This window comes from Homo sapiens, chromosome 13, assembly GCF_000001405.40.
Source record: "Homo sapiens chromosome 13, GRCh38.p14 Primary Assembly".
Classification (NCBI taxonomy): domain Eukaryota; kingdom Metazoa; phylum Chordata; class Mammalia; order Primates; family Hominidae; genus Homo; species Homo sapiens.
In genome coordinates, this window is record NC_000013.11 from 81,753,859 (window position 1) to 81,768,380 (window position 14,522).

A 14,522-nucleotide genomic window follows, 5' to 3' on the forward strand; every position below is an offset into this window, starting at 1 on the left:
TATTTCCCATGCTGCTCTCATGGTAGTGAATATGTCTCACCAGAACTGATGGTTTCTTAAAAGGGTAGCTCCCCTGCACAGGCTCTTACCTGCCACCATGTAAGACATGCCTTTGCTTTACCTTTGCCTTCTGCCATGATTGTGAGGGCTCCCCAACCATGTAGAACTGTGAATCCTTTAAAGTTATTTTTCCTTATAAATTATTCAGTCTCAGGTATTTCTTCAGAGCTGTATGAAAATGGACTAATACAGTAAATGGGTACCAGTAGAGTGGGGTACTGCTATTAGGACCCAAAAATGTGGAGAGGACTTTGGACCTGGGTAACAAGCAGAGGTTGGAACAATTCAGAGGACTCAGAGGAAGACAGAAAAATGTGGGAAACTTTGGAACTTCTGCACCATGCACCTGGAAAAGCCATAGACACTCAAGGCCAGCCTGTAAAAGCAGCAAGAATGGGGAGCCACAGGGAGGGAGCTGCCCAAGGCTGTGGGAACCCACCTCTGCATGACCTGGATGTTAAACATGGAGCCAAAAGAGATCATTTCAAAGCTTTAAGATTTGACTGCCCTGCTGGATTTCAGACTTGCACAGGCCCTTAGCCCCTTCATTTTAGCCAATTTCTCCCATTTGGAATGGGTGTATTTATCCAATGCCTGTACCCCCACTGTATCTAAGAAGTTAACTAACCTGCTTTGATTTTATAGGCTCATCAATGGAAGGCATTTGCCTTATCTCAAATGAGTCTTTGGAGTTGGACTTTTTAGTCCAACTCATGTTGAAATGAGTTAAGACTTTGGGGGACTATTGGCAAGGCATGATTGGTTTTGAAATGTGAGGACCTGAGATCTGGGAGAAGCCAGGGTGGAAAGATACAGTTTATTTGTGTCCCCACCCAAATCTTATCTTGAATTATATCTCCCATAATCCCCATGTTTCAAGGGAGGGACCCAGTGAGAGGTAATTGAATCATGGGGGCAGGTATTTCCCATGCTGTTCCCCTGATAGTGAATAAGTCTCATGAGAACTGATGGTTTTATTAAAAGGGCAGTTCCCTGCACATGCTCTCTTACCTGCCACCATGTAAGACATACCTTTGCTCCTCCTTCACCTTCCGCCATGATTGTGAGGCCTCCCCAACCATGTGAAACTGTGAGTCCATCAAAGCTGTTTTTCCTTGTAAAGTACTTAGTCTTGGGTATTTCTTCATAGCAGTACAAAAATGGACTAATATACAAGGCAAATATACTAATGATAATGACCAATGTACGTTTTATGGTAAACAATTTGTGGCCAAAACAAAACAGGAAAATGAGAAATAATGTCTGCTAGATATGATTCTCCTAAAAAAAAATTCTGCATTATTTAAGTTGTAGCACACATTTTGTGGCTAGCTCATTACCTTCGCTATAGTGAAATATGTATCTTCTAGATGTTTAATAAGAAGACAATTCTTATAGCTGCTTATAATTATAATTTATCTTTATGAAAAATTAGTTTCAATGAGTATTCAAATAATTTTAAATGTCTTGTATTTTATAATTTTGTATTTGTACAATATGTAAATTATTGTATTCATATTTTAATTGCTTTGTTTTTTAAATATAAACTGAAAGCTAACATGTCAACATCAAAATCAATTTTCAAAATAGTAATAGAATGCATTAGCATCATTAATAATTATTAGTTAATAGGATTTGTTTTCTATGTCAAAAACACGTTTATAATTTATATGAATTTGTTAGCAAAATTATATATTCTATTTCTTTTCACTATTAATATAACTATTAATTATAGTTCCTACAAATTAACATCCATGTGACAATGTATCCTAAAAATCTCATGTAGTCCATTACTTATCAAAAAACTTTTAAAATTGTTTTACATTTTTTCAGTTTAAAAATTTTATGAAAAGAGAACAGATAAATTCCTACTGTATTGTATAAATAGAAGTTCCATAAGGAAGTTTTAAGGGATGAATAACTTTTTATCAGCATAACTTAAAATGAAGGTCACAGTATTTTACAGATATGTAAGAAGAAATCCTTCACAGACTCCATCACTATGATGTCCAGGATGAGGACATGCTGGGAAATTAAAAGGAGAATTAAGTATCTTTTTCAAAAAGGAATTACAATGTAGATGAGGAGTAAAAAATACACACATGAGGCAGTTAAGTAGAAATATAAGGTAAATATGCTAAAGCTATTTTATGCAGATGATTTTAAGTGCAAATGAAAGTCTTGAGAAAAGACTCAATGAAGCATATGGGTCTGGAGATAAGCCAAGCTCTATTGAGAAGGCCAATGAAAAGAGAAGTGCCAGGCTGTTCTAGAGCAATGTGAAGAAATTAATCAAGTCTAGAGAGCAAATGTATGTAATTTTCTGTGGTCCTGGAGCAAAAAGAAAGAGATTTAAATGTACAACAGAGGTCTTCAGAGTCTCTAACAACTCTACGTACATCATGTATAGACTTTCTATGTATGCAGTTTTGTTAGAGAGTTGAGTAACCCTGATTCTTAGCTGTAATAATTAATGGATGATTGAAAGAACTTTGACAAAAGTAAATGTAAATAAATATAAATATATATATATGTATGAGATCAAGTTATCATTGTTAACATAATATAATGGAGATTCTGCACCTATAGAAAATGTGCCTTAATATTACTGCTTTCTGAGGTGCTTAAAAAGCAAAGATAGGGTTTATACAATTTGAAAGTTTATATCCCCCCTAAATTTATATGGGGAATCCTAATCCCCAGCATCATTGTAATGGGAAGGTGAAGTCTTTGGAAAGTGATCAGAAGTAAGGATTTTGGGTAAACCCCTCATGAAGGTGATTAGTTACCCAAAGTGTCCCCAGGGATCTGCTTTGCCTCTTCCACCATGTGAGAACTCAGTGAGAAGGGGCTATCTATAAGAAACTGAGTCCTTGCCAGACACTGAGTCTGTCAGTATTTTGATCTTGAAATTTTCAGTGTCTAGAACTGTAACAAATGTATTTCTGCTGTTTACAAGCTACCCAGTTAATGGTATTTTGATTTATTAACCTGGATATATTTAAATAGGGGCTACTAAAATTATTATGAATTTAGATGAAGATAGAGGCATACTTTCCACATTTTCTATAGAAATAGCATACTTGTTTTAATTATAGAAATTATGTATTTTAATGCATTCACAGTATAAGTCTAATTGTTACAATTCTAGTCACAATGAGTAATAGCCTTTTACTTAAATAAGATAATAAGACAAGTAATCTCAGTGTTTAGTTTGTTTTGTAATGTTGTAGAGCTTAGGAAAGGAAATCTGGGTATGAATGACTTTGATCCCTCCATTATTCACAAAGTGGAAGAAGAAGAGTCTAGCTGTTATTTTAGCACTATTGTCCCTGTGGTTTATTATAAAGTCATTTTAAATGAGTCTTTAAAACAAAAACTAAAGAGGAAATCTTTTTAAATTTTAAAAAAACCTTAAAAATAACTTTAAAAAATTATTTGAAAGTCAATATTTATCTTGCAGGAAAATATAAAATAAAGGGAAAAAAAAGCCTGTTGTATTAGTCTGTTTGCATACTGCTAATAAAGACATGCCAAAGACTGGTTAATTTATAAATGAAAGAGGTTTAGTTGACTCACAGTTCCACATAGCTGGGTAGGCCTCACAATCATGGTGGAAGGGAAATGAGGAACAAAGTCTTACTGGCAGCAGGCTAGAGAGCTTGTGCAGGGGAACTCCCCTTTATAAAAGCATCAGACCTGGTGAGACTTATTCACTACCAGGAGAGAATAGTATGGGGAGACCACATCCATGATTCAATTATCTCCATCTGGGCCTGCCCTTGATATGTGGGGATTATTACAGTTCAAAGTGAGATGTGGGTGGAGACACAGCCAAATCATATCATTGCACCCCAGCCCCTCCCAAATCTCATGTTCTCACATTTCAAAACCAATCATGCCTTCCCAACAGTTCCCTGAAGTCTTAACTGATCTCAGCATTAAATCAAAAGTCCACAGTCCAAAGTCTCATTTGAGATAAGGCAAGTACTTTCTGTCTATGAGCCTGTAAAATCAAAAGCAAGTTAGTTAGTTCCTGGGTACAATGGGGGTACAGGCACTGGATAAATACACCTGTACCAAATGGGAGAAATTGGCCAAAATGAAGCAGCTACAGGCTCCATGAAAGTTCAAAATCCAGCAAGCAGTCAAATCTTACTGCTCCAAAATGATATCCTTTGACTCCATATCTCACATCCAGGTCACACTGATGCTAGAGGTGGTTGGCCACACTGATGCTTGAACAGCTCTGCCCCTGTGGCTTTGGAAGGTATAGCCCCCTCCTGGCTGCTTTCACTGTCTGGCCTTCAGTGTCTGGAGCTTTTCCAGGTGCACTGTGAAAGCTGTTCAATCTACCATTCTGGGATCTGTAAGACAGTGGCCATCTTCTCACAGCTCCACTAGGTAGTGCCCCAGTGGAGACTCTGTGTGGGGGCTCTCACCCATATTTCCCTTACACACTGCCCTAGCACAGGTTCTCCATGAGGGCTCCATCCCTGCATCAAACTTTTGCCTGGACATTTAGGTGTTTCTGTACATCCTCTGAAATCTAGGCAGAGGTTCTGAAACCTCAATTCTTGACATCAGTGCACCTGCAGGCTCAACACCACATGAAAGCTGCTAAAGCTTGGGGGTTGGACCCTCTGAAGTGAGTGCTTGAACTTTAATTTGACCCCTTTTAGCCATGGCTGAGATGCAGGGCACCGAGTCTTGAGGCTGTATGAAGAAGCAAAGCCCTGGGCCTGACACTTGAAGCCTATTTTTCCTCCTAGGCCTCCAGGCCTTTGATGGGACGAGCTGCCTTGAAGACATCTGAAATGCTCTGGAGACATTTTCTTCATTGTCTTGGTGATTAACATTTGGCTCCTCATTACTTATGTAAATTTAGCCAGCAGGCTTGAATTTCTCCTCTGAAAATGGGCTTTTCTTTTCTATTGCATCATCAGATTGCAAACTTTCCAAACTTTTATATTCTACTCCCCTTTTAAACATAACTTCCCATTCCAAATCATATCTTTGTAAATACATAAAACTAAATGCTTTTAATAGCACCAAAGTCATCTATTGAACACTTTGCAGCTTAGACATTTCTTCTACCAGTTGCCATAAATCATCTCTCTCAAGTTCAAAGTTCCACACATCTCTAGGGCAGGAACAAAATGCTTCCAGTCTCTTTGCTAAAATATAGCAAGAGTCACCTTTGCCCCAGTTCCCAAGTTCCTCATCTCCACCTGAGACCACTTCAGCCTGGACTTTACTGTACATATCACTATCAGTATTTTGGTCAAAGCCATTCAACAAGTGTCTAGGAAGTTCCAAACATTTCCACACTTTCCTGTCTTCCTTTGAGCCCCACAAACTCTTCCAACCTCTGCCTGTTACCCAGTTCCAATGTCGCTTTCATATTTTCAGGTATCATTAGAGCAGCACTCCACTTGACTGGTACCAATTTACTGTATTAGTCTGTTCTCACACTGCTAATAAAGACATACCCAAGACTGAGTAATTTATAAAGGAAAGAGGTTTACTTGACTAACTTTTCTACATGGCTGGGGAGGCCTCACAATCATGGCAGAAGGAGAATGAGGAGCAAAGTCACCTCTTACATGACAGCAGTCAAGAGAGCTTCTGCAGGGGTACTCTCATTTATAAAACCATCAGATCTCATGAGACTTATTCACTACCATGATTACGGTATGGGGGAAACTGCCCCCATGATTCAATTATCTCCACCTGGCCTTGCCCTTGACAGGTGGGGATTATTACAATTCAAGGTGAGATTTGGGTAGAAACACAGCCAAACCATATCATCTGTCAAACAATATTTTATAAATTTTCAAACTTTAGGTAACTATACAAAAATCTAACAGATAATCCAGAAATGATGTCCATGACAAATATAAACAAATCTGGATTTATGTAAGGAGAGACTTTATTTGAAAAGACTATTACAATAGGGAGGTCATTTTACTATTTATTTGTGTCTCTCAAAGTTCATGTGTTAGAAACTTAATCCCCAATTCAAAAGTGTTTTAAGGTGGGCCTGATAAGAAGTGATTACATCATGAGGGCTCTACCCTCTTGAATGGATGAGTGTAATTGTTATGGAAACAGGTTAGTTATTGCAAGAGTCAGCTTCTTATAAAAACAAGTTCAACCCTTGATCTATAGCTCTCTCTCTCAGGCTTTCTCACTCTTCTTCTTTCATAGGGAGATTCAGCAAGAAGACCCCCCATCAAATGTGGGTCTCTTGACCTTGGCCTTTTCAGCCTGTAGAACCATAAGAAATATCTATCTATCTATCTATCTATCTATCTATCTATCTATCTATCTATCTATCTATCTATATCCTATTCTGTAGTATTCTGTTTTAGCAACACAAAACAAACTAATACACACTTTGACCTCTGAATTTCTGGGCATCTCAAAAATCAAAGATAAAAATACTTTTCTTTTGAAGAAAGGGTTAAACATTAAACATGTATAGCCTGAACTTTATAAGCACTGAAGGTGAGCAGACAGCAGGATCATAGAGGTTTAACAGCATATATTTATGTGGCCTGCCAATTCTTAGTGTGAGTTGCTTAAAAGGAATGTTCTGTATCTTAGTGCTTGCTTATATGTGGGGACAAAATAGAGTTCAGGAAACTGCGGGTTGGAGAGGAGTCTGACAAGTCTTTGACACGCCAAATGGATGGGTAAGTTATGGATAATTGTGAGCACTTGGTCACTGGCAAACAATAGTCACATGTGAAAGTGGCAGCCTAGTGATACTTTGACTTTCATACTTTCTGGGCTGAGTGTTGTGGCTCACGACTGTAAACCCAGCACTTTGGGAGGTGGTGGTGGGCAGATCACCTGAGGTCAGGAGTTCGAGACCAACCAGGCTAATGTGGTGACACATCGTCTCTATTAAAAATACAAAAATTATTCTCTTGCCTCAGTTTCCCAAGTAGCTGGGACTACAGGTGCTTGCCACCACACTTGGCTAATTTTTTGCATTTTTAGTAGAGACGGGGTTTCACCATGTTAGCCAGCATGGTCTCGATCTCCTGACCTTGTGATCCGCCTGCCTCAGCCTCCCAAAGCGCTGGGATTACAGGCGTGAGCCACGCCACCACACCTGACCTGTAGTAATATAATTTTATAAAAGAAGAGACATTGAAAAATGTTTGTAATGGCAACTAACCTTTACTGAGTGTTTACACTCATGTTTACAACTACTTCATGGATTAGGAATTATCTAAATGAGAAGAAAATGTAGGCTTAAAGATGTTAAGTAATAAATCCATTTAACAACAGGTAATTACAGAGAAATGTTTCAAACTGATGTCTAATAATGCAGAGCCTAGGCACATGAGAACTGCTTCCTCTGACATGATGGACAAGAAAAAAATGATTAAATAAGGATAGGATTAACAAAGAATATATATACCTTGAAATATAGAATACTATCTAGGGACAGATCACAAATTTTCTTCGGACGTGTCTACCAGCCACAAGCTAAGGAAAAATAAAGATAAAAACCAGACATTTTAGAAAAAAATCATCTTTGCCTTTCTTTGACATTCAAAAGTTAAAAGTTTATTTAAATATCTAAGATAATCTCGGGGACATGATAGAAACTTATTATTTGTTGAAATGGAATTTAACACTGAGAGCCCACACATTTTCTTTGAAAATTATTTTCAATCAACCATTCTACCAGAGGTTTAATAAGTATTTTAATGTCATCTTTTGATACTTTTGAATGGCTCATGATTTGTATATTTAATGAATTAATATATAGTGTATTCACTTCTGTACGTCATGATCTATGATTTAACATATTTTTCAAAATGAAAGAAATGCCACTCAATTTATTGACTGATAATGCTCTTCATCTTTGATTTGTTACAACTATGTAAACATATATATATTGTATTATATTACATAGTTACATATTTTATTATATATGTATGTCTGTGATACATGTGTAATATGTATGCACATGTATACATGCATATATGTATATAAAATATAAGTTTACATACATATGTACTAAATATGTGTACCTTTTAGTGTTTATTGTTGAATTATTTTAGTTCTCTAAATTTTGTGTTATACTACAAAAGTTTTATACTTTATAGATTTATATTTATGACCTAGAAGGGAAAATCATTCCTTTTACTATTCTTTTGAAAAATACCTTTATACTTTTGCTTCTGTGGATAAAAATTAAAATAATTTTGTTATATTAAATATAAAAATAATTTAAGAATTTATATTTTGCAGTTGTTGTTGTCCTCAATGAAGAACATGATGTATACAAATACATAGATTAAAAAATAATTTTCTCGGTTGCATGGGAATGTAAAGTTTGGAGAAAAAATATTCAGCTCTGTCACTATAGTAATCTGATGACTGGAATTCAATTATTGTTTAGGCAACCTATTTATAACAAATAAATGATTCCTAATAGAAAAATGTCATCTAGTCTATTTGGAACTATGAATGAACTTTAAATACCCAGTGTGGACACTATAGCATTGGGTATCTCTGAAGACATAACTCTTATATTGAGAAGGGTAAATAGATGCTGTACAAAGAAATGTTAAAGGTGATATTTATTGCTATGGGAAATAAAGGTTTTAATCCAGAGGATGTTATGTGAGGGCAGCTCCCACACCTGCCCAATATGCATCTCCTCTATTCACACCTGGACTGTTCGCTGAGGAGAGACTAGCTCCCAAACTGTCCTAGAGACTACTTTAGGAACTGCTGCCACCAGGGTTCTTGCTGAAAGAAATGCCTGGCAATGCTATACTGTGAAGCTGTTCTTCCTACCTGGTCATCTTCTAGGTAACTGATGCCATGTGTTGGCCTATGGTAGTCTGTGATTCAGAATATTTATTTGAATCCTAGACAATTTCCTGGTCCTTATTATGGTGAAACTGAAACTTCAAATAATATTTAAATCCTTTTTTGTCACTTAAGCCCCCTACTCGTTCTACAACACCTACCTTTAAAAAGAAACAATCACCACTCCCCAGTAAGCAAATCCTTCTGCAGGTTCTGACCTCCAAGTCTCTTACATGTTAAAGATTTTGAAAATAACAAAAGTCTATTATTTATATTTTTCTCTAAAGTTTACATGACATGAGAAAAAAAATCTACATTATTTTAATGAAAGCTACTTTTGTGTATCTTGTTCATGATAATTATTTTTCATTTAAAATTTGATATTTAACAGTAATGTTTCAGATGAATTTTTTTCCCTATTGACAGCTTATCAAAATATTGTTAGTTGTTTCTTCTCATTTATTCCATTGAATCCTCAGAAAATATGTTGTAAACACTTCTGGGAATTACATGTTGCACTTGATGACCCAAGTAGCCTTACAGGGTAGGGTGTTCTAAAGGTTAATGGATTTTTGTGTGTTGATTGATTTTTTTTTAAGAATCAAAGGGAAACCATTTCAAGTGTCATCTTCCTTTCTCATTTTCTCTAAAATCTATATTTATAACATATTCATTTGAATATTCATATTTTATTCTATTGCTGAGACAGTTTTTAAAAGTTTCTCAAATTCTTTAACTGTTAAGGTTAGGTGAGGCATGTATGTTAATCTTGATAAGATTAAATCAAATGTTTGTTTATATTTTACTTAAAATTTATGGTTATAGAAATAAATTCCAAGACTATTTTTGTCATAACATTAATGACTATGGTTTAAGTCACACTACTAGAAAGCCTATATGCATAAGATGCACATTTTTTGCATCATATTATGATGTTATAGATTTTAAGAGCATCTCAAAAATAATAAAAATTATCTTCAAGTAATCTAGGTTCATCAATGGATTTAAGGAGTCAATTATACTCAGATACATAAGAAAATGTCTGAATTTGCTCCTAAAATGCACAAACCAATGTGGCTGGAATGCCAATTTGGTATGTTTATTATTGTATTAGTCTACTCTGGTTGCCGTAACAAAAATGTCACAAACTGGCTTATAATAATAGAATTTATTTCATACTTCTAGAGGCTTGAAGTCCAAGATCAAGGTGCCGTCAGAGTTGGTTTTTGGTGAAGCTTCTCTCTTGGGATTACAGATAGTGACTTCTTGCTGTGCCCTTACATGGTGTTTTCGTTGGTGTCTCCCCCTCTCCTTTTAACGACATCAGTCCTATTGAATTAGGCCTTCACCATTTATAGTGCCAAACTAATGTATATCTGGGCTTAATTTACAAAATCTTAAACTAAGTAAATTCTAATAACATGGATATGTGGCTTTAAAACATTACTATGAAGAAATAATTTTTTAAAATGATGATGAAGTCACCCACAAACATCAGGGAGATGACACTTCCCTTGCTTTTAGTTCTAGGAAATCATAAAGCACAGGAGGTTAAAAAAAGAAAATAATTTAACCATAATTCCCTTATTAATGGCCCTATCTTGAAAAACAGTCACACTGGGGGTTAGAACTTCAACATGTAAATTTGGCAAGGAGGGTGCACGGTTTAGTCTATCCAGTCATAGACTGGATAGATTCTCACCAGGGACTTTTTCAGCCCATACAATCATAGTTCAGTAAAAGATCCAAGAAAGCTTCAGTGAATCTCAAACAATTCCAAAGAGATTCAGAAAATTCAAAGCTAATATTACATTCCTCCTATATTTAATTAAAATGTGTAGGATAACTAAATTCTATTTCTAATGTCTACAAAGTTTTCTTATAAACTTCATTCAATAGATAAATATCAGCAAATATCCTTTATATTCAGGATTACCTTAGATTATATTGGATATTTCCTTAATGAGGTTATTCTTGAATTTTTCTTTTTCCTTACATCACCCACCCAAGTCTTCAGCAAGTAAACTTAGCTTCTCATCATATTAATTTCTACAATCCCAAGGAAATGTACTATATTATTGAAAGGTCTAGTAATAGTAGGCAGTCTACAGGTCTTTATTGATATTTAACATTCTAATTGATACTGATACTTTTCCTCAATGCTTATGTCACTGATGGTACAAGAGGTGTACAGAGGGAAGCAAGGTAGGGATAAAAGTATGGTAGACACTGAAACCTTCACTTAATCTTTTGGCTCAGTATAAAGTGTCATATTACTGTAGGTCTGGGTTTAATTTATAAAATATTAAACTAAACTAAATCAACTACATCAAATGTATATGTAACTTTAAAACATTCCTGTGAGGAAATAATAAAAGAATGATGAAATCACCAGCAAACATCAGGGAGAAGACATATCTCGTGCTCTTAATTCTAGGAAATCATAACATACATTAGGTTAAAAAGAGAAGACAAGCACTGTCCTCAAAAATAACACAATAATTATGACATAATAATATATTGTGTATATTTATATTGTTTTTATTTTATATTTTCAACTTTGATTTTAGATTCAGGGGGTACATGTGTAGGTTTGTTACGTGAGTGTATTGTAGATACTGAGATTTGAGCCACAAATGATCACATCACCCAGGTATAAACATAGTACACAACAGGGACTTTTTCACCCCTTGCTCTCCTCCCCATCTCCCACCACCAGCAGTTCCCAGTGTCTATTTTTGCCATGTTTTTGTTCATGTATACTCACTGCTTAGCTCTCACTTACATGTGAGAACCTGCAGTGTTTGGTTTTCTGTTCCTGTGTAAATTCACTTAGGATAATGGCTTCTAGCTGCATTCATGTAGCTGAAAAGGGCATACTTTCATCCTTTCTTATGGCTGTGCAGCATTCCATGATGTATATATACCACATTTTCTTTACTCAATCCAGCACTGATGAGCACCTAACTTGATTCCATGACTTTGCTATTGTGAATAGTACAACAATGAATATAGAAGTGCATGTGTCTTTTTTGTAGAACAATTTATTTTCCTTGAGCTATATATCCAATAGTGGAATTACTAGGTTGAATGGCAGTTCTGTTTTAGGTTCTTTGAGAAACTTCCAAACTACTTTCCACAGTGGCTGAACTAATTTACATTCCTACCAGCTGTGTATAAACCTTCCCTTTTCTCTGCAACCTTGCCAGCAACTGTTGTTTTTTGACTTTTTGATAATAGTCAGACTGACTATGAGATGGTATCTAATTGTGGTTTTGATTTAGATTTCTCTGATGATTAGTGATGTTGAGCATTTTTTCATATGTTTTTTGGCCACTTATTTGTCTTCTCTAGAGAAATGTCTGTTCATGTATTTTGCCCGCTTTTTAACGGGGAACTCTCACAACTCCTACTCAACATAGTACTGGAAATCCTAGCCAGAGCAATCAGGCAATAGAAAGAAATAAAAGGCATCCAAATAGGAAAAGAAAAAGTCAAATGATCTCTCTTCACTGAAGATAAAATTCTATACCTACAAAACCCTGAAGACTCCACCAAAATTATCCCAGAACTGATAGATGACTTTAGTAAAGTTTCAGGACACAAAATCAATGTGCAAAAATTAGTAGCAATAATAACATTCAAGATGAGAGTTAAATCAAGAACACAATGCCATTTACCTAGACACATAAAAAAATGAAATACCTAAGAATACACCTAACCAAGGAGGTGAAAGATCTTTGTGAAGAGAACTACAAAACATTGCTGAAATAAATCATAGATAACACAAACAAATGGAAAAACATTCCATTCTCATGGATTGGAAGAATCAATATCATTAAAATGGCCATAATGCCCAAAGCAATCTACAAATTCAATTATATTACAGTCAAAATACAACATCACTTTTCACATAATTAGACAAAAAACAATTCTAAAATACATATAAATCAATAAAGAGTCAAAGCAATCCTAAGCAAAGAGAACAAAACTGGAGTCATCTTATTACCTGGCTTTGAACTATACTTTAAAGCTTTAAAGCAACAGTCACCAAAACAGCAGGGTACTGGCACCAAAATAGACACGTAGACAAATGAACCAGAATACAGAACCCAGAAATAAAGCCACATAGCTCCAGCCACCTGATCTTCAACAAAGTTGACAAAAATAAGTATTGGGGAAAAAAGTCCTTATTCAGTAAATGGTCTGGGGTAGCTGGCTAGCCATATGCAAAAGAATGAAACTGGGTCCCTACCTTTCACCATATGTGGAAATTAACTGAAGATGAACCAAAGATTTAAATGTAAGACCTCGAACTATAAGAATACTAGAAGAAAATCTAGGGAAAAACATTCTGTACATTGGCCCTGGCAAATAATTTATAAGTAAGCCCTCAAAAACAATTGCAACAAAAACAAAATTTGACAAGTGAGACTTAATTAAACTAAAGAGCTTCTACACAGCAAAAGAAATGATCAATAGAGTAAAAGACAACTGACAGAATGGGAGAAAATATTTGCAAACTATGCATCAGACAAAGGTCTAATATCCAGAACCTATAAGAAACAAACAATTCAATAAGCAAAAATACAAATATGTTTATAATTATACATACAGACGGTCTCTGACGTATGATGGTTCAACTTATTAATACAATTTTTCAAATTTATCATGGTGCAAAACCAAATTGCATTTAGTAGAAACCATATGTCAAATTTTGAATTTTGATCTTTTCCTGGGATAATGATATGATTTACTTTATGATAATCTCTTGCTATCCTGGGCAGTGGTAGACAGCCTCAGTTCCCAGTCAGCCATGTGATCACATGGGTAAACAACCAATACTTTACAAGGTACTATGTTGCCAGATGATTTCTACCCAACTGTAAACTAATATATGTGTACCGGGCACATTTAAAGTAGGCTACACAGCTGGGCATGGTGGCTCATGCCTGTAATCCCAGCACTTTAGGAGGCTGAGATGTGCAGATCACTTGAGGCCAGGAGTTTGAGACCAGCCTGGTCAGCATGGCGAAATCCCATATATACTAAAAATACAAAAATTAGCTGGGTGTGGTGTCACTGGCCTGTAATTTCAGCTACTAGGGAGGCTGAGGGACAAGAATCACTTGAACACAGCAGGTAGAGGTTGCAGTGAGCTGAGATCACGCTGCTGTACTCCAGCCTGGGTGGCACAGCATTACTCTGTCTCCATCAATCAATCAATCAATCAATCAATCAAGTATGCTATGCTAGGCCATGACGTTCAGCAGATTAGATGTATTAAATGTATTTTTGACTTAGGATGTTTTCAATTTATGATTGGTTTAAGAATAATTTAATAATTATTATATGTGATATATGATATATAATTATATATTTATAATTATATACATTCATTTTACATTCTTCTTACATTGTTGTACCTGATTTAGAATACGCATGTTGATCAAGCTAGTAGTCATGTATATCATTCAAAAATAAATATTTTCCAGCGTGTATGCTGAAGTCATCTTTTATCATCTAACTTGATGGTTAAACAACCAGTTTTGGTGACCATGTGGCTGAATAACTGAGGCAACTCCATACTGGTGAATCCGCCTCTCTCCTCTTGGTTCTGT

General features: G+C 35.5%; 1 annotated feature.

Annotated features, from left to right (window-relative positions):
• Window positions 1,289-1,458: an enhancer, noted in NCBI's record as "experimental_33503 CRE fragment used in MPRA reporter constructs". NCBI's record gives its function as "activates a minimal promoter by MPRAs in K562 erythroleukemia cells, with activity observed for the non-introgressed 13:82329367 variant allele {active_cell/tissue: K562}" and the evidence as "EXISTENCE:reporter gene assay evidence [ECO:0000049][PMID:34662402]".